At 46.9% G+C, this 26,942-nt stretch overlaps 1 protein-coding gene across 13 annotated transcripts in view, besides 4 other annotated features; it reads left to right on the forward strand.

Moving 5' to 3' along the window:
• Positions 4,085-4,234: an enhancer, noted in NCBI's record as "active region_17456". NCBI's record gives its function as "activates an Ori minimal core promoter by ATAC-STARR-seq in GM12878 lymphoblastoid cells {active_cell/tissue: GM12878}" and the evidence as "EXISTENCE:reporter gene assay evidence [ECO:0000049][PMID:35858748]".
• SNPH (syntaphilin) overlaps positions 4,399-26,942 on the forward strand; it is a 43,034-nt gene continuing 20,490 nt past the window's right edge. For 11 of the 13 annotated variants that reach the window (XM_047440614.1, NM_001439257.1, NM_001318234.2 and 8 more), the window contains exons 1-2: positions 4,399-4,502; positions 4,759-4,865. The gene's annotated coding sequence lies outside the window, so the exon portion shown is untranslated. Of the gene's footprint in view, positions 4,503-4,758; positions 4,918-26,942 lie in introns of all 13 variants that reach the window. The other 2 variants (NM_001439261.1, NM_001439264.1) reach the window with 1 other exon arrangement.
• Positions 4,635-4,714: a silencer, noted in NCBI's record as "silent region_12588". NCBI's record gives its function as "represses an Ori minimal core promoter by ATAC-STARR-seq in GM12878 lymphoblastoid cells {active_cell/tissue: GM12878}" and the evidence as "EXISTENCE:reporter gene assay evidence [ECO:0000049][PMID:35858748]".
• Positions 4,815-4,894: a silencer, noted in NCBI's record as "silent region_12589". NCBI's record gives its function as "represses an Ori minimal core promoter by ATAC-STARR-seq in GM12878 lymphoblastoid cells {active_cell/tissue: GM12878}" and the evidence as "EXISTENCE:reporter gene assay evidence [ECO:0000049][PMID:35858748]".
• Positions 13,976-14,176: a silencer, noted in NCBI's record as "peak4117 fragment used in MPRA reporter construct". NCBI's record gives its function as "represses an SCP1 promoter by STARR-seq MPRAs in K562 erythroleukemia cells {active_cell/tissue: K562}" and the evidence as "EXISTENCE:reporter gene assay evidence [ECO:0000049][PMID:32103011]".

Here is a 26,942-nt window from a genome sequence, read left to right on the forward strand (position 1 = left end):
ATTCCCATGCCTCAGCCTCCTGAGTAGCTGAGATTACAGGTATACAACCACCCCACTCAGCTAATTTTTGTATTTTTAGTACAGACCAAGTTTTATATTTTTAATAGAGACCTGTTGGACAGGCTCATCTTGAACTCCTGGCCTCAAGTGATCCACCCACCTCTACCTCCCAAAGTGCCAGGATTACAGGCATGAGCCAGTGCACCCGGCCTATGGTGTTTTTTTTTTTTTTTTTTTACTATATTTTTTGTCATAGATTTTAAAAATAGCTATTCTAGGGGTTACAAAATACATACTTAACTTTTCATGCTCTACTTAGAATTGATATTTTACCACTTCAAGAGGAGTGTAAAAATCTTACACCATATAGGTCCCTTTATATTGTAAAGGAATATACATACTCCTCCTTTATATTGTACTAGTCTTATCTACACACATTGAACCCCCATCAACAATTGTTGCTTTCCACTGTCAAACATGTTTTAAAAGATCAAGAGAAGAATAGCCTATTACATTTACTCAAATATTTACCATTTTTGTTCTCCTTCCTTCTTGATGTTCCAAATTTCTTTCTAATGTAATGTCCCTTTTGTCTGAAGAACTTAATTCAGTAGTTCTTTTAGAGCAAGTGTGCTGGCAATGGATTATCTTCATTTTCCTTAATTGGAGAATGTGTTTATTTCACTTTCATTTCTGAAGGATATTTTTGCTGGGTACAAAATCCTGGTTGACAACTCTTTTCTTTAAGCAATTAAAAAAAATTGTTCTGTTTTCTTCTGCCCTCCATGGTTTCTGATAAGAAATCAACAGTTATTTAAATTATTATTCCTGTATTTTTTTTTTTTTTTTGACACAGGATCTTGCTCTGTCACCCAGGCTACAGTGCAGTGGTACAGTCAGTCATAGCTCACTGCAACCTCGACCTCCCGGGCTCCAGCAATCCTCCCACCTCAGTCTCCCGAGTAGCTGGGACTACAGGCAAACGCCACTACACACAGCTGATTTTTGTATTTTTTATAGAGGTGGGGTCTCGCCGTGTTGCCCAAGCTGGTCTCAAACTCCTGGGCTCAAGCAATCTGCCTCTTGGCCTCCCAAAGTGCAGGGATTACAAGTGTGAGCCACTGCATCCAGCCTATTCCTGTATTATTAATGCATCATTTTTCTCTGACTGCTTTAAAGATCTTGTTTTGTTTTTAATTTTCAGCAGTAACTGAAAACTATTATTATTATCATTATCATCATTTGATTTATTCTCTCTGGGGTTCACCAGAATGCTGGAGTTTGGAGCTTTATTTACTCTGTTCCACTTTGCTGCCTACTTTCCACAGTTGAACTTGCATCTGGGACCAGGAGGTAGGAGGACAGTGACAAAAAAACAACAACAGGGGCTCACCCTCCCTCAGGACTACAGCTACTTTTATTGAAGAAGTTTCTCCTCCCTCAGAGTTTTAGGCACCTGTGGGTTCCTGCTGTCACAGACACCACTGCAGGATGGCCTAGGGCCTGGGTCATGAGACAATGGAGAAAAGATTTGAAAGGAAAAGAACAATGATATCTCCCACATACTCTGCGCATCAGAAGTCCCTTTTCCTGATCTTCAAGTCAAAACTAGGGAGATTCTTTGGGAGCTTTCTCTTTATTGAGCCCCAATTCCAGATTTTGATCTGCCTTGAGACCAGGACAGGAGTTATAGGAAGAAATAAAGATGATAAATTCACCACTAGTTCAGTGGTAGGGTATATCAAATTCTGGCTTCTTCCCCAGTGTGCCTGCTAGTATTTTGTCTTCAGAATCCTCAAATAGCTGCTACATGCATTTTGTTCAGGTTTTATTGCTGCATTCTGTGGGAGAGTATGCTTAGCCAGAATTGGAATACAATTGTTTTTGAAACTAAAAAAATTTTTAATGTATTTTCAACTAGTCCAAAACAAAACAAAATTACTAATTTATTAGGAATAATTTTGTTTTATACTTATAATCCTCATTTGTTGCAATTTACATTATAACTAAACACCAGTTCTCTTCTCAATCATCTGCTTCCTGATGATAAAGAGAATACTTTACTAGCTAACACCATTCCAGATGGGAGTAATGTGAGTGAAGTCACTGTCTTGCTTTGGGGAAGTTCCTTGTGGAGATTTCTGGGAAATGTAGTCTTCTAAGTACCAAGCAAAAAAAAAAAAAAACCCAAAAAAACCCCCACACAAAACCCCACACACATACACACATGAGGATGGGACAGCCAGGCATGGTGGCTCAAGCCTGTAATCCCAGCACTTTGGGAGGCTGAGGATTGCTTAAGCCCAGGAGTTGGAGACCAGCCTGGGCGACATAGTAAAGCCCCATCTCTATTAATAAACAAAACAGCATGGGAACAGACAAAAAAATATTTTAATGACAATCTCAGAAATGTTCTCCTTCTAAACATGTAATAATTACATGGCTTCCTTTGGTTTCACTTTTAAGTGTAAAAATGTCACTTATATAATTTCAGTGAGCATTAGAGCAGATAAAACATTTTATCAATTAACTTGCTAATATAGCATTAGGTGTTTTGGACAGAAGACCTCAACATTTCACATGGCTTTTTCAACTAGTTTCCTATTCCTGCTAAATTGCTCTGCCATGTTTTTCTAGAAAACATAATATAATAATGGCTATCTGATAGGATATGGTTTAACGGAATACAGGAGAAAATAGAATCAATGTCCTCTCCAAAATTTATTAGCATTTGTTGCAAAAAAAGTAATGGATTTATTGCAGCTCAGAGATACAGGAAAAGATTTGACTGTGAAAAGCAACAGTAAACTTAAAATAATTATTTTTTCATGTACATTATCAATATTAACTGTTTCTCACCAGGCCAGTACTGCAGAGTCATGATGTAAATCAGTGAAGTCACTTTACAAATTCTTCTCTTGGAAAAGTCAGCTTGGGGCAGAGAGTAGAGGGTACCAAGTTCAGCACCGGCGAGAGTAAACAGACTTAAGGACTTAAGAGCCTTAAGAGACTTAAGACAAAAGGACTTCCAGGATGGCATCTGGCCTAGTGTTCCCATAGAAGACTGGGGCCTGGCACAATGTGTGCTTGCTTTCTCATTCACTTAGTCAATATTTATTGAGCTCCTACTATGTGTTAGGCACTGCTCTGGGCACTGGAAATACAGCAAGGGAAAAAAACAAAGTTCCTTCCCTCATGAAGTGTACATTCTAGTGGGAGTGATAAATGACACATAGTAAATATACACTATGTCAGCTGGTAATTAAGTGTAGCAAAACTAGGGGCAAAGGAGGTGGAGAGGAGGGAGTTAGTATTTTATGTAGAATGGTTAAGGAAGCCCTCTCTGAGACAGTAACATTTGAGCAGAGACCTGGAGGAAAGGAAGGATTGAACCATGTGGCTCTCTGGTGTGTTCTAGGCAAAGGGGACAGCAAATGCAAAGGCCCAGCAGTGAGGCCTCAGCAAGAAGGACAGCTTGATGGGAGAAAAGTGAGTGATGGGGAGAGCCACGCAAGATGAAGTCAGAGAGCTGGAGTAAGATGAGGGCATGTGGCGGAGAGCGATACAGAAAACCACTGGATGGTTTAGAGCAGAGTAATGACAGATCAGACAGGCCTGGTTCAGAAAGAAGGAGCCCATTCCCACTCCACCTACTTCCCACACATGAAGCAGATAAGAAACCAAGCCCAGAAAGTGAGTTAACTTATCTAAAGTTGTATGGCTAGAAATGGAAGGGCTAGGCAGAAAATCCAGTTTTTTGGACTTTTTGGTCTTCTTGTTTTCCCTGTGACAGATGGAAGACAGAGGGAAAAGAGCCACAATTAACATTTTAAGTTGTGATTGTTTATCTCTCCGAGATCTTTCCAATGATTCACCTTTTTACTACTTAAGAGGAAAACATTTCCATTTTCAGACACTTAAGATTCCTGCTATCATTGTTAGTAGCCCAAGTGCTTGTCATTCACATTAAATACCCCTGGTACTCAGACTTGGTTTGGGCAATGAAAAATGTTCCTAAAGGCTTTTAGATAAAAATTACTATTTCACTAGAGCCAACTATGTGCCAGGGAGTGAGACTGGTATCATCACCCCATGTTAGAGAAGAAAAAGCTGAGGCCCAGAGAGGTGAAGGGACTTGCACAGGGTCACACAGCCGACCAAGACGCTTTCCACCACGCCCAATCGATCGCCCAGCTCAAAATACCGGCTGGTGTGTAGGTGGGAGAGGCCGCCGCTCCCCGTGTGCTCGTTGTCTCTGTTCCCAGGCCCTCTAGAGCAAGATACTAACTATCTCTTTAAGAAGGAAAGTAAAGACGGGCCGCTTACGCAGCTGCCGGCGAGCCGCCGACTGGCTGGTCCCCTCCATCCACCTCACCCTCCCCGCCCCTCCCTCCCGGCAGCCCCAGCCCCGGCGAGCACCCAGCTAGCCGCCTCCTGCAGGGGCTCGGGAGAGCAATTCGGCGGCCCCTGCAGGGCAGCTGAAGCCATGGAAGCCTCCGCAGGTGATGACAAGGACCCCGGGGATCTCCGGGCCCACCGCCCAGCTGCACCCGCCGCAGTCCAGAGTGCCGAGTGCCAGGGGGTGGGGTGGGGGCCGCGGGCCGCGAGGAGGAGGGGACGGAGCACCCGGCAGGCAGCCTGCCCTCCAAGCCTTCTGGCTGCAGCGGCCCAGCTGTCAGCGGCCGGGGGCTCAGCTGCCTGGGTGTTCCCCGCCCGCGCTCACCCGCCCCGGTCTATCTCTTTTTCCTAACCCCGCAGGTCGCTGATCAGGGCCAGGCGGCTGCAGCAGCGACTGCAGAGGCGCTGCGCCAAGCCGGGCCGGAGTGGTGCGAGCCGGCGGGGCTGCGGAGGGCCAGTGGACTCAGGTGAGGAGGCCGCGGCGGAGCGGGGAGCTGGCCCTGCGCTGCACCGCGGCAGGTGGGGGCCGCTTGCAACCGCTCGCTGCGGTAGAATCCCTTGGAGGGCACCAGCCTAAGAGGGGTTAATCGTGACTCATTCTTACCCTCCCTTCATTCCCCTACATCCCTTTAAGCGCTTCCCTCCCTCCCCCTCCCTGAAATGTAAGAATTAGAGGGTGCTGATTGCAGCAGAGAAGATGCCCAAAGTGGGTGATTAGGAGGCTTTTAGGGAACCCACCCCCCAATTTTATTTGTCTTCCCCTTCTGGCATTTGGCAAACATTTAAGCTTCTCTTTTCCTTCTTGGAGGAGGAGCAGGGGTACCTGGGGGTGGGAGAAGGATGAGACCCCACCCCCACCCCAAGGTCAAGTGCCAATGACTGCTTCCATCCCATCTTTCCCTCTGAGAAGCATCAGGGCCCTGCAGTAGATCTGGGGAAAAAATGCCCATAAGTCCTAGAGTGGACGATCTGAGCCTCCGTCTCCCCGGAGCTTCCCTGGGATGTGAAGCCTTCCACTCCCCAGCCGGGATCTGGGCTGTTTGCAACACCTACTAGCCTGGGGAGCCCCATATTCCCTTCCCCAACCCTGCAGACTGAAAGAGAGGCCGGTCACATGCTGCCCGTTTCCTCTGCCTTCTCTGCCCATCTGGTGGTGTCGGGATGGGCTGGAGGAGCTTCTTAGAAAAAGGTGATCTCTGCAGGCAGAGTCGTGTAAGGAAAGTGCCAGAGATTGGGGTTCTAGGCCCTTAACTTGCTAGTTGGCCACAAGTAGCCATTTTAAAATTCTCTAGGCGTGGGTGTCTGTCTGCTCATCTGTTAGATGCAGGAATTGGATTAAATGATGTGTATAATTTTAGTATATCACTCAAGCAGCTTTTACATGTCAGGGGGACCCCTCTGCTAAGGCAATTTAAATTTAGTTTCATGAAATAATTGGGGTTTCCTCAGTTGATCTCTTTCAACTCTGACTTCTTAAGTGAAACATTGACCTTGTGGGCCTCAAGGAGCTGGAGGTGCCAGACAGTCCTATGTTGACATCCCTGAGCTGCCAAGTGACTTCCCTTCCCCCAGCCTCAGTTTCTCCATCTGTAAATCTAGGGGTACAGCCCGCAGAGGGCTGATGTGAAAATTAAATGAGATGTATGTGGAAGCACCTAAAATAGTGCCTGTGCCTGGCACATAGTAGGTTCTCAGGAACTCAGGACTTGGGAGATAGGCTGGGGGAAGAGAGGAAGAGGTGACTGCTTTTAGTCCTGTTCTCCTCCCCATCCCCTGCCTGTCTCTTCCACACCCCTGCAGATGGTGTCCCTGCCAGGGGTAATGAATGCTGAAGTGTATTGGGTCACCAGGCTGAGGGCCTAGGCAGGCAGCAACATTTCCACTGCAAAGGTTGTGACATCATTCTAGCAAATGATGGTCCCAAGGAGGACTGTAGCCCAGCATTGGGTTTGGAAAATCCTGGCATCCAAGGGCGGAGTCTCTGAGGGAACAGAAGCAGCAGATTCTTGTGTGCTGGCAGCAGGGCAGGGATCAGGTCTTCCGGATCTCACATGAATCCCACTGTGGCTCTCTTGCCCTCCCTGGAGTGTCTCCCTAGAGTCACCCTGAGGCCAGGCAGTCAAGTTTTTGGTGCTTGTATTTTCGATTCTTTATCTTCCTTCCTGCTGTCATTTTCAGCCTAGCACTCAAGCCTTTCTCGCTCCTCTTTATTCCAGATACCTCCTGCCTTTTGACAGCATGATAAAGGAGGTTCTCCATAGGGTTGGGTGGGGAATTTTGCTGCTGCACCATTTGGGCCAAAAGAAGTTGTCATGTCCCCCCACCCCCACCCTAAATTCCTATTTGGCAGAGGCCCTATCATTTTCCTTTCTCTATCTCCAGCCTCTGGCCCATGAGTAGGCCCAAAGTAGGTGCTCCGTAAGTGTTGAATGAAACAAACTTGAGGAAATTATGTCCCTAAGCCAACTAGGTTAGGGAGAAACTGTAGGAATGTGTTGATTATGTAGGTGAAAGCCCTTTTTAGTGTAGGACATCGTCCAGGTTGTTGGTTGTCATTATTATTGCTATTACAGCTACTGTTATTATTGCTATTGTTGGTGATTAACAGATGCTTCGCCTACTCCTCTAGGGCTCCTGACTAGACCAAAAGGGGCCAGATGTGCCTGGGAGGGTGGTGATGTTGGCAAAAAGGGATCCAGATGGTGCCAGCTGGTGTGAGATGACTGTGAAGGGAGGAGGATTGGGAAGGGAATGATTCTAGCCATTTTCTGTGTTTGAGGGAGGAGAGCAGGTAATTAGAATCAAGTGGGACAACATGGATATGCAGTAGAAAGTCAGGAGACCCAGGTCCCATGTCCCATTGAACCACTGCCTTATTATGTGACCTTGGGCCAGTCAGGCCTCCCCTCAAGGCCTCTGTGTGCCCATCTATATAATGATGGGACTGGACTAAGTGATTTCTAAGACCCCTTCTGCTTCTGACATTCTGTCGAGTGGATTTTGTTAAATAAAAATCAGACAACTATGATTACCCTCAACGTCATTTATGAAGTCCCAGACCATTAACTGTCTCAGGTAATCCTTAAAGAAAATTATGACCATTTCAAAGATGGGGAGACTGAGGCTTGGAGAGACTAAGTGACTTGCTGAGGGTTGCGCGGCTAGAACTGCTATCCGACACCAGGTCTGTCTGCATCGTCCCCTTCCAAAGGTTTCGCTGCCTCTTCATGCATACCTTGCTGATGCTGTGAGCTGTGTGTGCACTTGCAGGTGGGAACAGGGGTTTGGAGAAGAAGAAGCTGTGAACAATTTACGGTGAGAGATCAGGCATTTCTCCCAGGTGATTGGTGCAGGGTACTTCCTGGTTGAAAACTGTGTGAACCAGGAATGGAGAGTTTTCCTTTCACCGTGAGCCCTGCTTTGCTGATGTTTGGTGGATGCCCCTTTACCGAGGATAATGGTTAGGCCTGAATGACAGTCAGGACAGACACACTTTTTTAGTCTTCTTATGTGTTGTGCTCTGTTTTACACAGGTTCAATAATTTACTGCTCAGATCATCCCATTATGTAGGCACTATATATAAATTTACCCATTTTTATAAGTGAGAAAGCCAGGGCAGAGAGGCGAAGGGTCTTACCCAGAGTCGTACAACCAGTGTATCATAGAACCTAGAAAATGTTTAGCTGGAAGTGCACTGGACTGGGTGTCCAAAGGGTTGCTTTTAGTCTGAGCCCTCTCAATAACTGAATAACCTTGGGTCAGCCAGTTTCCCTCCAAGAGTTCCCATCCCTCAAATGATCTGCATGCATCTACTGGCTCCGAAAGGCCTACATGCACCCTTGTTCCAGTATTGGAGGTGGAGGGGATTCCTTAACTTGCTAAACATTGACCAGCATTTGTCCTTATTTATTAGCTAGGCCCTGGGCTAAGTGCATAGCATGCAGGAAAGAGTAAATTGTGAGTCCTAGTTTCAAGAAGCTCATATCTAACAGAGGGAGACAGACACCTAAACGTGTAGATATGAGAAAACATCTGGAAGCTATAAGACATACTGATATGTGTGTGATGGGGTGGGGGGACAGAGAGAGGGGAATGATCTTTCCTACTGAGTGGGTCAGGAAGGCTTTAGAGAGATGATGCCATTGTCATCTCTATTTTTGGCATTGAGCTTGTGAATAATAATTTAATAATAATAGTAAAGGGTTCTACTCGATTTAGAATGTTTCCAAACAGCCCTAAAGACTTGTTGGCTCCTGTCCTCATCAATCTAGAAGGTGGACATGGAGTCTAGGGGACTATCCAAGCTCACGCTGTAACACAATTTTGATGGAACTATCTGTTTGTCCCAGGTAGACCAGAACCTTTCCTGTCCTTAAAGCCTTCTAGAAGCAGGATTTTGAAATTCCTCTGACAAAGACTGTCTTGTGCCTATAATCATCTGATAGGCTTGGGGAATTCTTCTTCATGTCTATTCTAGGCATCCCACCTGTCTGGAGGAACGCCTAACACCTGAGAGGTGAAGTCATTTGCCTAAGATTACTCAGCAGGGCTTGGTTCATAACTCTGGCCTAACGGGGATTGCATTTCTAAGCCACATGGGGTCTTTCTACATCTAGGCCACCAGAAGCCCCAGGTGCCAGTTCTCCATTTGATGGGCAGCTGGTGCTGTGGGAAGTCTCGATGCAGGTGATGTGAAGCTCAAGCCAAGGGCCATGGAGAGGCTGAGGCCTGTGCACCCCAGGCTGCTTTGCATTAATGGACAGATATTTATGACGTGTTTGTCGCATACTCAGCACTGTCCTCTGAATTGAGGGGCTGAGCCAACCAAAAGGGAGTGGCTGGAAAGCAGCCTGGCACAGCAGGAAGAGCCAGCACCGAGGAGTCAGTAGACTTGGGTCCTCACCCCAGCTCTGCCGTTGACCCACTGGGTGGCCTTAGGTCAGACCCTTTGCTTTTCCACACCTGCAAAATGGGAGTCAGAGGTGATGATATCTAAGAGCCCTTCTAGCTCTGAGTGGCTAACAATTCAGAAACTCTTTCTTCTTCTTCTTCTTTTTGTTTTTTGGAGGCAGAGTCTTACTCTGTCACCTAGGCTGGAGTTCAGTGGCATGATCTTGGCTCACTGCAACCTCTGCCTCCCGGGTTCAAATGATTCTCCTTCCTCAGCCTCCTGAGTAGCTGGGACTATAGGCATGCGCCACCATGCCCAGAAAATTTTTGTATTTTTAGTAGAGAGGGGGTTTCACCATGTTAGCCAGGCTGGTCTCGAACTCCTGACCTCAGGCAATCCATCTGCCTTGGCCTCCCAAAGTGTCTTTCTTCTGTTCTGTAATGACTTTAGGGGGTAAAAGGGTGGATAGGATACATATAATTGTTACTTGAGGAAGAATAAGATAAATATAACAAAAGGCATGAACAAATGCTTTGTGGATTTGCTGGAGGGAGAGGGGTTGGGAAAGACTCAGTTCAAAAGCCACCTCTTCAAAAATAGAATGATGCAGACATGGTTAGATGAAGTTATGAGTTTTTGTTTTTTTGTTTTAACCAAGAGGAGTAACAGAAGATTGCTGTCATACTGGGACAGGAAGTCTGTAGCAGAGCAGTGGGTCTTGGACTTAGATTTCACAAAGACCAGTGCATTTGGGAATCCATCCTCGGTTAGCTAGCTTTTTATTTTACCAGACGAGGACATTCAGATGACACTTAGGGTCCTCTTTACCATCACTATCATAAAATAAGAGAAAGAACATTTTAATATTTCTATTCCCCCAAGTAAGAAGGCCATGTTATCAGGGGGAAAATGGTATTCCTTCAAATTGAATACATTTTGCTTTGTTAAAAACTCACTGCATTGTCTGTATTTTCCTCATTTTTGCCACAGACTCGTGTTCTCGTGTTTGGCTCTGCAATTGGGCTGCTGGGGTTTGAATTTTGGCCCAGTTATTTTTTTCCCTCAGAGCTTCTGTTTCCTCACCTGTAAAACTGGGAAATGATGTTGTCTCCTAAGGTCATTAGGAAGACTTTACACCAAAATGAAATATGTTAAGCAAGGGATGTCAAATGTAGTTGTCTACAAAGGTAAAACAGGCCAGTTGGGCTGTTTGGGGATTGTAGCACATTGGAAAGTGCTTGCTTGAAAGAGGCAGCTGCTATCCTGCTCTCACCATTCTTGCCTACAAGAACATGTGCCCAATGTTGTCAGATCTTCTGATTTATAAGACAGAAATCTGCATATTTGTTTGTGACATCTCCTAATTTTTAAAATGTAGCTGATTAGGCAATATTTTTAAATGCACATATTAAAATGTGTATGTGACCGGCCATCCGTCTGTGACCTCAGATGTAAAGTTTTAGATGCTGGGCACATAGTGCTCAGTCATTATTGGCTGGCCCACAGATGAAGGCAGAGAAAGGAAGGAAGGCTGGAAAGGCAGCCTAGGCCAGGGAATGCCTTGTTTGCATGGCTAGGGCATTTAGCCTGACTTTGGCAGCTTGTGATCTTCTGCTTCTGGCTCCCCCAGCTTCAAAGGCCCTGATGGTGCCCCTTCCCTTTTGGCAGCACTGTCAGGATTGAGTCTCTGGGGACTGAGGCCTCCAGATACCTCTGTACCCCTTGAAGCTGGCCCTAGCCACGCCTCCCTACCACAGGGTCTCTGGAAGCTTGGTCGGCAGCTTCAGAAGAGGGAACTTGGCTGGTGGCCTGTGCAGCCTGGCACAGAAGCCACCTTTGAGAAAGAGGGGTGCAGAGAGACTCCTGGCAGGTCCTCAGTGGGTGGGGTAGTTCCTGTTCTTTGGAAGCCACGCCGGCCTTGCAGCAGAGCTTCTGCCACCCTCTCCTTGGGTTGTGCTGTGGTCTGGACAGCAAGCAGTCTCTCTGTGGACAGCTCTGACACATGGTCCCTGCAGAGGAAAAGTTGGGATCTGGTTGCAAAGAGAGCCTAGAGTGTTCTTAGAGAAGGACCTCAGAGGAGCTCTTAATTAGCAGAAGAAACCCTACCACGGTTTCAGGGCCTTCTAGGATTCAGATTAAAGCCACTGATGACAGTTCACATTTTTTGTGGCTCCAGTTAATCAAATATTCATCAAGCACCTATCATGGTAAGGTTCTATTCTGGCCACGGTGAAGGAATTCAAAGAAGTATTTACAACCATTCATTCAACCAACATATACTGAGGATCTGCTGTACACACAGGCACCAAGATGTGGTCCCTACCCTCAGGGAGCTGTTTAGGTTGGTTGGAGGGAAGGAATGTGGGTGGTGCACAGGGCCTGACACATAGAAATATTAACAACAGCTGCCATTTGACTGTGTGTCTTCTGAGTATGAGGTGCTAGCCCTCATAGCACCTGTTTTAGAGGGTGGATGGGAACTGAACTGAATCTTCATCTGAAGCACTCAGCACTGTGCCTGCCACACAGTGATATAGCTGCATTATTCGTAGCCTGGAAAATTGGGCAGATGCAGAAGAAAGGCAACGTAAAGATGGGACGGAGAAAAAAAGAAGCAGTCAACCAATCCGGGCCCACTTAGCATATGTTATCCTTGTTTTATAGAGAAAGACACTGAGACTCAGAGAGGGGAGGAAATTTGTTCAAGGTTACACAGCGGCTGTGTAGCAGAGCCTACACTTAGATGCCAGTCTCTTTGGCATCAGAGCTGCGTTCTTCCCTCTAAGCCATACTGCCTCTAAAGAAGTGATCGGTGAACAAAAAATAAATAACTACCATTTGTTGAACACACACAACAGGTGAGGCACTGTGCTGCTTGCTAAGATAGGAAGTTTTTTAATAGTTGAGGAAACTAGGACCACTAGAAAGAAGAAACTGGCCCAAAGTTATATAAGCACAAGTGGTGGGGTGGGGACTCTGACACAGGTATACAGGATGTAGCTTCCCGCACCGTAGTGACAGGATAGCAGTTTTCAGGGGTAAAGGTATTCAAAGTGCAGGCATGGGAGAGAGTGTGGGCTTCTGCATGCCCTGAGAGATAGATACCAGACCAGTCCTTGCAAGTGCCAGCAAGGAAGGCAAATTTTGGCTCAGTTCAAGGGATGAAAGGGAGAAAATTCTAAAAAAAAAAAAATCTAGTAACAAAACAATGTGTTTTGAGAGCTGGCACCTCATCTCTGGGCTGCTCACATAGGGCTGGATGTTCTAGGAGGAATTCTTGCCATAGGATGGAGTTTGGAAAGGCTGTGCTTGACAGCTGTAACCCAGAAGATCTGGAATCCTAGTATAGGGCTGGTCACAGATGAGGCAAGCAGTGGGTGCTGCTGGCATTCCCAGGAGAAAGAATAGCTGTAGGTTGAGACTATCTGAGAAGGCTTCCCGGAGGAAGAGGAGGAACTAGAAAGGATCTAAAGGCTGGCACTCGGGAAGGGAGCGGAAGAGGACTGTGTAAGGACTGTGAGTCTGAGGACACTGAGCTCTCTAGTCTGGCTAGGCCATCGGTCTGGTGCCCTTCAGCAAAGGGCAGCTCCCTGTCCTTTCTGGCTTTTAAAATGGTGGAAGCAGAGGTACAGTAAATCCTGGGTCCTGCGTCTTTCCCAAAGCCTCATTAGGCAGCCAGTTTGGCACCACCTCCCCCGTCTTGCTTCCCACACATCCCCTCTGTATGCATTGTAAGATTCGCCTCCCTTCCAGCCTCCCTTTCAGAAGTGGCGGACTTTGGACGTGCAGCCCCAGAGGGAGAAGGGGTGCGCTAAACATCACCTCTTCTGTGAGGCAAGTGTCATGAGGCAAACTACGTCTTCTGGCAGTGGCCACCTGCCTCACTTTTGGGGCTCAGAGCCAAAGGGGGAGGAGCCACAGCTCCATCCATTTAAGCCACCCTGGGCCTTCTGGGAGCCACTCGCTTCCTCAGAGCCAGGCCTGGCTCATTTCCAGTTCTGCCACTTGTTAGCCTGGGACTTCAGACAAATTGTGTTACCCCCTGGGCCATTTTCTCATCTGCCAAAGAGAAATCGATTATTCCTGCCTGAGAGGAGACGGGATGATCTGTTGTGGTCCCCTGTGGGAAAGAGCCTGGTATATAGCAGATGTCCCCACGAACACTGCTTCCTCCTGTCTCTATGGGCCTCGATTGCTTTTCTGACCCTCTAAGTCCCGACTCTTGTCCAGGTTAATGAAAACAGCTACACTACATGTCGGGCACAGGGGATATGTGACCTTATAGCATCTTCCTGACAGCCCAGGTAAGGAAAGCATTATTATAGAAAAGGAAGCTGAGTTATAGGAAATTTAAGCAATTTGTCCATGGCCCACAGCTGTTACATGGTGGCTGAGCTACCAAATACCTGATTCCAGGGCCCAAACTCTCCCTGCCCCTCATTTTGCTTTCTCATTCTCTTCCTCTCCCCATTTCTGTTCTCTTAGGCCTGTGAATGGGCATTCCTTCCTCCTCAAAGCTTAGCTGGGCTCTTACACCAAGGTTGCTAGCCCTGGACCTGATAGGAGTGAGGTGGTCTAAGAGCTAGAGAAGGACATTTTGATAGTTTATGACTTCAGAAAAGTCCCTGAGTGACCCTTGGACGTGTTCTACCCCAAGTCAGCAGTATTTCCTCCCTGCCATTCCTTTCTACCTCAATTACTTTTACTTGCCCTGTTTCCTCTGCCTGAAATTTTCTTCCTACTACTACTGCTATCTCCTCATGTTCAGATCTGTCTCAAGGCCCAGCTCAAACACTGTCTTTCAGGGGACCCACTTCCAACTCCCACAGCTCCTTCACAGAGCCCAGGCTCTTAGTCACCAGCCTAAGCTCTGTGCTCTCAGAGGATGGAGAGGACCTGACCCCTCCACACCCTCCTGTTCCCTGACTGCAGAGACCAGCCCTCCCTGGGTGGCACGCAGGGCCCAGATTGGAGCTGTAGACCATTTGAGCCAACTGTCTGTGGCTTCCTTCTGGAGAGCCCCTTCCCCCTCCACAGGAGGGGGGCTCCTCACTCTGGGGCCGTGTGTTTGAGAGAGAAGCCCTCAGAGGTTGTTAGGCCTGGTAGAGGTCAGTTTTGTAAGGAATCCCTGAGGCCAGCCATCCAGATGAAAAAGCCCAGGATCCAAGCCTAGGCAGCACTGGCCCCCTTGCCCTGCTCTCTGAGTGGTTGGGAACAGAGAGCGCAGGTTGGAGTTGGATACACTTGGACTGCTGTCTCCGTCTCTGCCGTGGACTGACTTTGTGACTGGGCAAGTCACTTAATTTATCTGACCCTTAGTACCTCAATAGTAAAAATGGGCATCATAATCATAACGTAGGCCTCCTGACAGCAAAGCTGGCATGAGAATTAAACTAGATTAGAAATCTTCTATGTGTAAAGCCCCTACCTAGCCCAGGGGCTTTATTTATTAAACACAGTAGGTGCTTAATAAATGCCAGTACCCTTTCATCCGTGTTGTATAGGAATCACTTTATAACTTCCCTACTTTCCCAAAGTGCCAACACATCTTCATTTGGCAGTGAGCTCCCTCCTCACTGGAGGTATTCAAACTGGGTCCGGGTGACTGCAGAACAGGAATGTTATTCCGAGAAACAGAACTTCAGTCAGATGGATGTTGGGCTTTGAAACCTTCAGATTCTTTCCTGTCCAGAATTTTTGCGATTCTGTGAAGACTTGACTCAGATCTCGTTGGTCAATTATTAGAAATCAGTTGGGGTTCGGCTTGGATGTCTGTTTTGCACAGATAAAAGACAGACTTCTGCTGGAGTTGTGAACTAATTGAAGGCTTTCTCCCAAGAGGTGGCAAGGGTAGAAACAAAATCAGGCCCAGGAGGAAGGACTCCAAGGGATCCTGGAAAGGGAATCTGGCTGGGATATTAGGGGCATGTGGCGAAATGTTTAGGTTGAATTTGGGGAAGGCTATACCACGGCTGCTAGAAATAATTTCCTGGGGCAAGGATTGTTTGATTTGTCTCTGAACCCCCGTACCCAGCACAAACCAGGTACACAGAAACATTCTAGAAAAATGTTGAGTAAATGACAAGAAGCTTTGGTGTCCCTATCAGATGGAATCCTGGGTTGAGGGACTCCTTGGGACTAGAGGCCATGTGGGAGTTTCATACTCTGTGTGTGTATGTGTATGTGCCTGTGTCTGTGTGTGTCTGTGTCTATGTGTGTGTATGTCTGTGTCTGTGTGTCTGTGTATGTGTGCCTGTGTGTGTGTCCATGTGTATGCCTGTGTGTGTGTCTGTCTGTGCCTGTGTATCTGTATGTGTGTCCGTGTGTGTGCCTGTGTGTCTGTCTGTGCATGTGTGTCTGTGTGTGTATCTGTGTGTGTGTCGTGTGTCTGTGTGTGTGTGTCAGTGTCTGTCTCTGTGTGTGTCTGTGTATGTGTGCCTGTGTGTGTGTGTCTGTGCCTGTGTGTCTGTGTATCTGTGTGTGTCCGTGTGTGTCCATGTGTGTGCCTGTGTGTCTGTCTGTGCCTGTGTGTCTGTGTGTGTATCTGTGTGTGTCGTGTGTCTGTGTGTGTGTGTGTCAGTGTCTGTCTCTGTGTGTGCCTGTGTATGTGTGCCTGTGTGTGTCTGTGCCTGTGTGTCTGTGTATCTGTGTGTGTCAGTGTGTGTGTCCGTGTGTGTGCCTGTGTGTCTGTCTGTGCCGATGTGTCTGTGTATGTATCTGTGTGTGTGTGTGCCTGTGTGTGTCTGCGTGTGTGCCTGTGTGTGTCTGTGCCTGTATGTCTGTGTGTATCTGTGTGTGTGGCGTGTCTGTGTGTCTGTGTGTGTGTCAGTGTCTATGTATGTGTGTCTGTGTATGTGTGCCTGTGTGTGTGTGTCTGTGTGTGTATCTGTGTGTGTCTCTGTGTGTGCCTATGTGTGTGTCTGTTTGTGTGTGTATCTGTGTGTGTCTCTGTGTGTGCCTATGTGTGTGTGTCTGTGCCGGTGTGTCTGTGTGTGTGTATCTGTGTCTCTGTGTCAGTGTCTGTGTGTGTGTTTGTGTGTCAGTGTCTGTGTGTGTGTATCTGTGTATGTGTGTCAGTGTCTGTGTGTATGTGTGTTGTTTGTGTTGTTTGCCTGGCTTCCTAAGACAACTCCTGTTTGCTATGCTTTCTGTTTTCTTTCCTCCACTCTTTCCCATCCTCCTCCTTCTAGCTTTATTGAAATATAGTTGATATACAAGCTTCACATATCTAAAGTACAGTGTGGTAAATTCTGACATATTTCTATACTGATGAAACCATCACCACAATTAGGATAGTGAACATCTCCATCGTCCCCAAAAGTTTCCTCCCCCTTCATCCTCAGGCAATTACTGATCTGCTTTCTGTCAGTACAGATTACTTCACATTTTCTAGTAGTTTATATAAATGGAATAATATAATATGCACATTTTTGGTTTGGCTTTTTCACTCAGCATAATTATTTTGAGATTGATGTTGTGTATACCAATAGTTTATTCCTTTTTTTTCTTTTTTGTTGAGACAGAGTCTCACTCTGTCACCCAGGCTGGAGTGCAGTGGTGCGATCTTGGCTCACTGCAACCTCCGCCTCCCGGGTTCAAGCAATTCTCCTGCCTCAGCCTCCTGCGTAGCTGAGATTACAGGCATGCGCCACCATGCCCAGCTAATTTTTTCTAGTTTTAGTAGAGACAGGGTTTCACCATCCTGGTCAGGCTGGTCTCGAACTCATATTCCATAGTATGGAGAAAGGATAAATCATCATTTGTTTATACATTCATCTGTTTGTTGATGGACATCTAGTTTTTTCCAGTTTTTTGGCTATTACAAGTAAAGCTGTTATAAATGTATGTGTATAAATCTTTCAATGGACATACACTTTCCTATTTTCTTGGGTAAGTTCCTAGAAGAAGAATGGTTGTATCATTTGGTAAATATATATGTAACTTTTTACTGCCCAAGTGTTTCCAAAGCATCTGTACCATTTGACATTTCTACTCGCGGCATTATGGGAGTTTCAGTTCCTCTACATCCTCATCAGTACATGGTATGGTTAGTCTTTTAAATCTTAGCCACTCTAATAGGTTCGTAATGGTATCTCCTTATGGCTTTAATTGGCATTTTCCTAATAACTAATGATGTCGAGCATCTTTTTGTGTCTATTTGACAGCCACATATCCTCTTTGGTGAGGTATCAGTTCAAGTATTTTGCCCATTAATTTTTAAAAACTGGGCTGTTGGCCTTCTTATTGAGTTGTATGAGAGTACTTTATACATTCTGGATATAAGTTCTTTGTTAAATATATATTTTGCAAATACATTCTCCCAGTGTGTAGGGCTTGCCCCAGAGGGCCTCGTGGAAGTTTCTTGCTCAGTGTGTATGAGTGAGTGAGAGAGACACTGATAGAAAGACTGGTTTCCTGAGAGACTCCGGCTTCTTTTTTTTTTTTTTTTTTTGAGACAGGGTCTGACTCTGTCAGTCTGTCACCAAGCCTGGAGTGCAGTGGCACCATCACAGCTCACTGCAACCTCCACCTCCTGGGCTCAGGTCTTATTTTGCAAACAGGGAGCCTAAGTCCCTTAGATGCCATGAAGGTTTAGTGTCAGAGCCCACAAACAGCTCTGATGTCCAGAGAGGCCTGGCTGGCCCTTGATGCCTTTTATTCCTGTGACCCTGGGTGAGTAAGGTAACTTAGCATCCTTCATCTTGTGAAGATGGGCACAGCTGTGCCTTCCTGTGGGTGAGAGACTGGAGTAGAGCTCTCCAGCCGACCCTCCCAACAGCAAGGGCGAGGAGCGTGTGTCAGTGCCAATGCCATCAAAAGGCCTTTTGGAGGCAGAGATGGAGAGGCGAACTATTCAGTAAGGAAGGTTTGTTGAGCTCCACACTGACCAGATTGGGGCATGGACTGGCCGGAGCGGTGCCCACAGCTTTTCTGCGTTGCTCTGAGCTGTGTGGAGCCTGGACGAGGACCTCGTGACTTCTTCTGCCAGACCTCTTTCTCAGCTCATCAGCATCACACACACATGTGTGTGTGTGCATGCACATATACATGTAGGCTCAGTAACTCCCAAAGGGTGGGAGACTGGTCTACAGGTGGGGATGTGTGTAAACAGCCTGTATCTTACTGGTGCACGATGTGCTCTAGCTGTGAATTCTGTCTCCCTTGAGGCTACACACAAGCATTCAGGCCTGGATTGAACTTGGAAAATAAGTAGGCTGAAGAGGCTTGGGAGAGCTTTCCAGGAAGACAGCACTGCATAGGCAGAAGTCCAGTGAATTTTCAAGATGAATTGCAAAGGAGGTGTGTGGGAAATGAGGCTGACAAGGCAGAGGTCGGGTTGTCACAACTGCTGTATGAGGTGGGATGTGTTATCTCCACTTTATACATGGGCAGACTGAGGGACCCAGAGGTCAAGAGAGGTATGCCTTAGGTCTGAGTCATACTGAGTGGCAGAGCTGAGTGTCCTGGCCCCAAGTACCGTGGTCTCCATACTGTACCAGGCTTTGTCCCAAGAGAGTGAGAGGATGGAGCTCCCTCAGGGGCCCTCTTCCTGGTTCCTGGATTGATGGAATGGGGTTCTCAGAACTGTCAGGTCATCTGTTTGGCTGCCTGACTTCCCTCAGCAGGTGTTTACTAAGCCTCGATTTCGAATCCAGCTCTGTTCCTAGCACCTGGGAAGACTCCAAGCCTCTGAAGGCATGATGCCCATTCCTCTTTTAGCCCTTGCAGGATAGCAGACACCTAGCCAGGTTCCCAAGCCCAGGGTGCTGCTGTTCACAACTCACAGGCCAGAACTGTCTCTGCAACTCTGGGTGGAGTGGGGGGTGTGTTTGTATGTTTTAAGGTGGGTATATTGCCACCCCTGAATAAGGTTCTATTATTGAGGGAGGAGGGATAGAATATTGAGTAGGCAGCGAAGCTAACCCACACAGAGGCCTGGGCGTCATCACAATTCTTCCCTTTCCGTCATTCCCTACAGCCTATCTCTTCTGGGGACCCTCAAGAGTCTACTTCCTAAATTTCTCTTGAAGCCACCTTTACTTCTGTCACCTCCTCACCTCCACTCTCATTTTAACCTCTATAGCCTTCGTTAAAACGTCGTCATCCCTGACCTGTCCTGGTGCTTCTCTTCATCTCTTCCCAGTCCATACTTGGCAGAGCTCGTACAGGGTTATCTTCTGTAATATAAATCTGACCTTGAGCCTTAGGCCTGCCTTGACCTTGAACTGTAAACCTGACTTTGACCTTAAATTTGATCAGAACTTTTTTCTGTAAGCTCAAAAGGCTTTTTTCTGCTGGCTCAGCCCTTCTCTCTACTCTCCCTATGCCCCTACACTGTGTGGTCTAGCAGTACCCAGCCCCCTGTAGCTCTCTTACTCTTCATGACTCTGTAAATGCTAACCCCTATTCCTGCACAGAATGTGGAATGCTCCTCCACAGGCAGCTCCTGGGTACCTGGAGAACAACTATGCACCTGTCCTCCAGAGCTCTGCTCAAGGGCACCAGCTTCTGAGTTCTGCAGAGAAGCCCCTCTCTCTTCTGCCCAACCCCTCAGTGACACGTGCTTCGATTATGGGACTATTGGCAGAGGAGGAAGTGGCACACAATAGACACTTGGTAAATATTGACTGAAACAGCCATGCCAGAGCTGCCACACAGATAGGAAATGCTGTAATTAGAAGGGGGAGTAGCTTTGGGAGGCTTGCTTTCAATCTGGGAGCTAGGCCATTTCTGAGCTTGGCCTCAGTTCCCCGCCTGCATTGCCATGGGGCAGAGGGTGGAGGGTGGAGGGTGGGGGTGAAGATACTTGCCACAGGGCCGGAGAGACATGGAAAAATCATCTTGGATGATTTGTATGTCTGAGCTTGAACACTTTGCCTTTTAAGGCTTTGGCTAAGTGCTGGTGGTTTGATCAAGTAGAAAACCCAGCTAATAGGTATACATTATGGGTAGGAGAAACAATAGGCAACCTAGCCCTTCGGGAAAGCAGTTTGGCAGCACATTCATACTTTTCGACCCTATAAATCCATTATCAGGGAACCAGCCTAAAGAAATAATTCTAAATATAGGAAAATAATTATTCACAAAGATACCTATTGTAACATTATTTTTGATAGAAAGTCTAAATGTTCAACAGAGAGGGAGGCTAAATGAACCATGACAGACCCATCAAATGGAATACTATGCAGCCCATAAAATACTTTTTATAAAGGATATGCCATATGGGCGATTCTTAAACTATGGTACATTTTGAAAATATACAAGTTATATTTTTGCCACGGCTATAACTGTGTAAACATAACAACCCCTTGCCCCCTAAAAATATCTGTGCTTAGAAAAAGGCCTGAGAAGGGGCAGCAATCAAATTAATCAGTGGTTTGAGTAGCAAAACTGGAACTGGAAGGCTTTTAAATGGGTATGTACTACTTTTACAACTATATTTAAAACTTAAAAATTACCCAGTTGGAGCTAAGGGAGCCCATTTTAGTTCAGTACCTTTCTGGTATAAGTTATTCATTTGTCTCTGGGCCTTGGTTTATAACATACGGGAAAGAAATTACTGTTCATCCAGCAGTGTGTGTGCCAGGCTCTTTGCATGCACCACTCAGTTCAGTCTTCACAACTGAAACCCCATTTTACAGATGAAGTTAAAGCTCGTGGTCAGCCCTATGCTAAGAACTAGGTTTCCAGCTTGATTCTGCCCTAGGACAAAGCCCCTGCTCTTTACATCCTATCAGGGGCCCCTAGGATGCCTGCTCTCGGGAAAGGGGAGTGAGAGGGACACCTGAGAGTGCTATGTCCACAGAGCCAGTGTAGGCTGAGCCTTTCCCCTGAGTTTATTTTACAAGGTCGGGGAGATCAGTGTTTGCCAGCAAGTGGGAAGAAGAGAGGCTTTAGCTGCATGCAGCCAGAGATGGTGCTCTCTGCTTTACCTCCCTGGCCCCACCAGCCTTTTCCTGAAAAGGATTTCCCCCTCAGCCCAAGTAGCCCATTCTTCTTACCTGACAGCTGGGAACCAACCAAAAGAACATTGCAAGGCTGCATTCTCAGCCTCCTTGTACATCCCAGTGCCCTGGATTCAGAGCCGTAAGCCTGGGGTTGCAGTCCTGGCCCCACTCCTGATTTACTGGGGGCCTTGGGCAAGTGCCACCCACCCCCACGCTGACCTCAGATCTTCTACCTATAAAATGAGACTCGACCAGAAAAGAGACTCCAAGCTCCAATGCCGTGCCACTAACAAACAACACAGACCAGTTATAAGAGCAAGAGCTCTGTTAAGAACTCTGACAGAAAGGAGCAACTTCTCAGTCTCAGACAATCACTGCCATGCAGGAATGCAGGCACAGAGCTGAAAGATCTTTTAATTTGTTTGAGACAAGCCAGAAAACATGGATTTTAAAAAAATATGAAATCTCTTAGTTTATAAATATCGACTGAATTGGAATACATATACATGCAGGTCTTTAAGCATGATACGGCCGTGGGCTGCCAGTTTGGAATCTCCGTAGTCACCTGTCTCTGAGCACCTTCCTACCCCGAAGGTAGGCACCTTCTGATACCTGGACTCCTGGTCTACAAACACTTGCTAGGGCCAGTGCTGGGCAGAATAGGACCCGGGGCTGTGATAGCAAGAAGGTCAATCTGCTGAGAAGGAGGAGAAGGCCCTAAGTTTGCTTTTCTGGACCCCCAGGCTCGCCTTTGCCCAATACTTAGCCTTCAAAGGCTCTGTCCAGCTACCTTCTAGAAATCCTATCCCAGCTGTGACATGCACCGTGTACCAAGGGCTTGCTGTATATGCTCAGCAGCACAACCTCCCTTCGTTGTCATGGCAGTGATTAACCTCATGTACACACAAGGAAATTGGTCCTGATACTGATGGGCCTGAGGGCACACAGCTCCCAGCTGAGCTCTTGCATATAGTCATTACAGCCCTTAGAGGGGACCCTCTGGTGCTATTTTTTCAAAGATGAATAAAACTCTTCCAGCTCATAACCTAGCAGGAGAGACAAGCTCACTAAATAGAACACTGTGTGTAGAAAGGACTATAATAATATAAACAAAGTACCACAAAGCTTTCTTCCCCCCCTTTTGTTGACTTGCTAAGAGGCCTACACTTACTTGGGTGGTGACATCAACCCAGATCAGTGCACACCCCCTTATTCATTCAGCAAAGATTTATTGAGGGCCTGTGGTGGCCTGACACTAGTCTAGGCATAAGGGACTAAATAAAGCATAAAATGGGCATCCATCCTTACCTCTCTGGAGCTTATATTCTAAAGACATAAAATAAATACATACATAAATATGTTAGCTGTTGCTAAGGACGGTGGAGAAAAACGAAGCATGGGAAGAAAGAGGAGTGCTGTAGGAGGAGGGGTTGTATTTTAAACACAGTGGTCAGAGAAGATTCACTGAGAGGGTGACCTTGGAGCAAAGACCTGAAGCAGGAGAGAGAATACACGGGGCAGAGATCTGGGAGAAGAGCATTCCAGGCAGAAGGAACAGCATGTGCAGAGGCCCTGATGAGGGGATGTGCAAGAAGGCAGGGTGGCTAGAGCAGAGTGAATGAGGGGGAGAGGTGATGAGGTCAAAGAGATAAGCGGGGGTCAGGGGAGGGATGCACAGAACTTTACATCAGCCGAAGAAAAGGCTTTAGCCTCTATTGAAAGGAAGGACCGTTGGAGGGGTTTTGAGTAGAGGAATGACCTGATCCAATTTGTGTTCTAAAAGGATCCCTTTGGCTGCTGGGCAGAGTTTGTAGGAGATAATGAGACCTGCATCATCCAGGAGAGAGATGGTGGCTTGGACCAGGGATGGAGCAGTGAAGATGCCGAAAGGTGTCAGATTCTGTGACTGTGTCGCCTCAGTTTCCTTATCTGTAAAATGCATACACTGTGCAGGGAATAAAAGCTGACAGGCTTTTCTGATAGACGTGAGAGTGTTGGCCTACCCGACTGGAATGATGGGATTGCCATTAACTGAAATGAGGGAAGCTGCAGAAAAACAGATTTTTAAGGCAAAATCAGAAATTCATATTTTGGATGTGTTAATTTTGAGATACTCTGTTAGACCAAAGTGGCGGTGTCCTGAAATCCTGTTGTTTGGTAGACAATGACCGGTTTAGGGTTTTTCTTTCCTTTTCTTTTTTTGCAAGTAGACTTAAGAAAGCATAAAATGAATCTGTAGTCAGGAACCTCTCAGATACAAACGAGTATAGTATTTCAGATTAAGATTTTGGACAGGGAGAAAGATGTAATATACATGAATAACATTGAGAATAAGAATATATTCAGGCGAATAAATAATTACTGCTATTTACGGAGTGCTGTCCCTATGCCAGGTCCTTGCTAGGCATTTCACACGTGTTATTGCTCATTGTGATTATACTCATGCACAACTGTAATTAGCCCCATTTGAGAGATAAGGAGAATGAGGCTTAGAGGAGTAAAGTGGCATTCCCACTGTCATAAAGATGGTGGGTGGTGGAGTTTGGAATTCAGAGTTCCAAATCCAGTCATATTGGATCTAAAATTCAGTTACATTTGATGTTCAAGCCGTGGTTTCTTTCTGTCGGGTTAGTCTGCCTGTCAGCAAAAGGGGAAAACTCGTTCTGAGATAGATAAAGGGTGGCCGGGTGCAGTGGCTCATGCCTGTAATCCCAGCACTTTGGGAGGCCAAGGCAGGTGGATCACAAGGTCAGGAGTTTGAGACCATCCTGGCCAATATGGTGAAACCCCGTCTCTACTAAAAATACAAAAATTAGCCAGGGGTGGTGGCAGGCACCTGTAGTCCCAGCTACTGGCTGAGGCAGGAGAATTGCTTGAACCCTGGAGGCGGAGGTTGCAGTGAGCCGAGATTGCGCCACTGCACTCTAGCCTGAGCGACAGAGCGAGACTCCATCTTAAAAAAAAAAAAAAAAAAAAAAAAGATAAAGGGCCTTTAAAATAGGACATAGTAGTTTGTAGAATCTCCCTTTTAAAACATTTTAGAATGCTTCACTTTGGCTAAATTAAGAGGTAGGGCAGCTTCTCCAGAGAAGGAAAACTTATTAGGAGAGGCATTTATTAATCACCCACCCTCTTCCAGCAAGTGTGAGCCACACTGGGCATTGTTGAGGCCCTGGATCTTATTGAAGGTGAAAGAATTCAGCATGGCATGGGAAGTACCACGGGGAATCAGGTGGACAGGGATCAGCTGCTGAGGACAGCAGGGCAGCTGCAGCTGGAGAGGGAGAAGGGAGCTGGGAGGAGAGATGAAGGAGCTGCTGTGAGATAGGCTCCTGGGCTAAAACAGGCACAGTTGGGTGCGCTGGGCTCCATGTCTCCCTGCTGAGCCCCTGGGAGCTGCAGGAAGATAGATGAACCTTGGCTTCCAACAGGAGCGGCATGCCTGGAACTGTTGGTGGGATTAGAATGAGCTGGCCCTGCTTCTATGGCTCCATTGTGGCCTTTGGCAAGTCTTCACTTTTCTATCTAGAAAATGTGGCAGTTGGGACTCGATTGTCATGAAATGCCAGGAGAGCAAGAGAGAGTGTGTGTGCACAAGTGACAGGGAGAGAATGCAAGTGCAAGAGACAGCGTGAGTGGTTTTATGTGGTTTCTTGTTTTGTATTACCAGGAACGAGGAAGCTCTCTGATCTCAGGCTGGGTGGGGGCTTTGTCTGTGGAAAGGGGCTGTCGTCGCAGGCAGAGCAGATGACATCTCCACATCCCTTTAGTCCTTTGGTCTGTGTGTTCCATGTGTTCTTCAGTCTGACATGAGCAAAGCACAGCACACACAGGGCAACTTTGGGGAGCTCTGAGGGCACCATCTTTCCTTGGGACCCACTTTGCCGACTCCCAGTGGACCATCATCTTGCCCTGCAGCCAACCCCATGCAAAAGTGTTCCTTTTAACATTCCTTTTAGGGAGATCTTTATTTCTCCCAAAGAACCAATTTTCTTCCTGCCCTCCCATAACCATGAGAACAATAAGACTGAGCATACTTTCCCTTTTGGCATCAGTGGCCAGGAAGCTTGGAATTGAATCTCAATGTCATTATTGCCACCATGTATTTGTGGTCAGCATGGATATTCCCTTCTTCCCTGGGCCTCTGTTTCAATGCATATTTTATTGCATGTCATTTATGAGCTGCCTTAAAATGGTCAGGACTTCTCCTGTCATACCCGTAGGCCTTCCTTCCAAGATTTCTTTACTTGAAAAGGTTCCCTTTGTTCTTTTTTTTTTCTTAATTTTTGCCCTGGTGAGGGCAAGGGTTGTGGTACAGAAGCTTCACTGATAGATTCAGGAGTCTAGCCCCAAGCCCAGGCTCTGTCCCTGACTTTCTGGGTAACCTCAGGCAACTAACATGCTTTTTCTGGGTTTCAGTTTCTTTCTCTATAGAATGATAGGTTGTGATGAGGTCTACTCCAGATCCTTTCCATTCTGATTCTGAGAGTGTGTTAGTCCCTGTTGGTACCTGGGGTAAATGCCAGGGGATTAGGCATTTACCTAATCTTACATCCAGGATCCAAAGAATCAAGGCAGAAATCTGGAAAAAATGAGAATTTTTAGGGATGGAAGTCTCACCATTTTCCTCATCCTGTGATGCTTTAGAGTTGGAAGCTTGGGAGAAGGGGGAAGGGAGAGAAGCCGGACTGAGGCTTGACAGCTCTATCAGTCAGGAAGCCCAGGGAAGCATATGCTGTGGCCAAGGTTGCTGAAGGGCCTCCATCTGCCAGGAGCCACTAGCCAGGCAGCCACCAAGCTGGGGCTGGCACCACTGCCCCTCCGTTCCTCACATTTCTCCATGGGTGTCTGCAGAGGGGCAGCCGTGGAGCAGCTGGGATGGTGGAAGCATGGGAACCAGTGTTCCCCCTACTACTCCCTACCCAGACGGGAGGCCTGCCAGACATTGCCCTGGAAAGCCAGCCCAGGTCACTTGGCCTAGCAGAGTTTGCCAGTCATTTCAGAGTCACTCATGCCTGGGCCTGCTGATGTCCGCTGAGGTGATAAAGCAAGAATTATTTCTGAAGAAGGGAAAAAGAGAGATCTCCTTCGACAGGTAATAGTGATAGCAAGAAATGTTCAGTCCTCTAATTTCCCAAGAACTACCCCCATCCCTCCATTCATTACCTTGGTTGGATCCCAAAGAGACAGCAGGGCCAGGAAGGTGGCGCCTTCCTGAGTGAATGCATGAGACAGCTGAGACGAACAGAGGTCAAAGACCCAAGGTCACCAAGATGGACGATGTGATATGGCTCAGAGGAGCTGAGGGTCTCTCAGTGGTGGGCTTGCACAGCAGCTGGGCTGCTGGGTGGGACGCAGCAGTTGTTGGAAGAGGAAAGAGCAGTGCTCCTCATGGAAAGGGCTTCTCCTTTGCCTGCGAGGCTGATTCTTAGAGGAACAGGGAAAGTCACTAGTTAGGGAGAAGGCACATGAGGAATTTCTTTTTCTTTTTTTCTTTTTTTTTTTGAGATGGAGTCTCCACTCTGTCGCCCAGGCTGGAGTGCAATGTCGTGATCTCGGCTGACTACAACCTCTGCCTCCCAGGCTCAAGATATTCTCCTGTCTCAGCATCCCGAGTAACTGAGATTACAGGCACCCACCACCTCGTCCAGCTAATTTTTCTATTTTTAATAGAGACAGGTTTTTGCCATGTTGGCCAGGCTGG

Source organism: Homo sapiens, chromosome 20, assembly GCF_000001405.40.
Source record: "Homo sapiens chromosome 20, GRCh38.p14 Primary Assembly".
NCBI classification, from domain to species: Eukaryota; Metazoa; Chordata; class Mammalia; order Primates; family Hominidae; genus Homo; species Homo sapiens.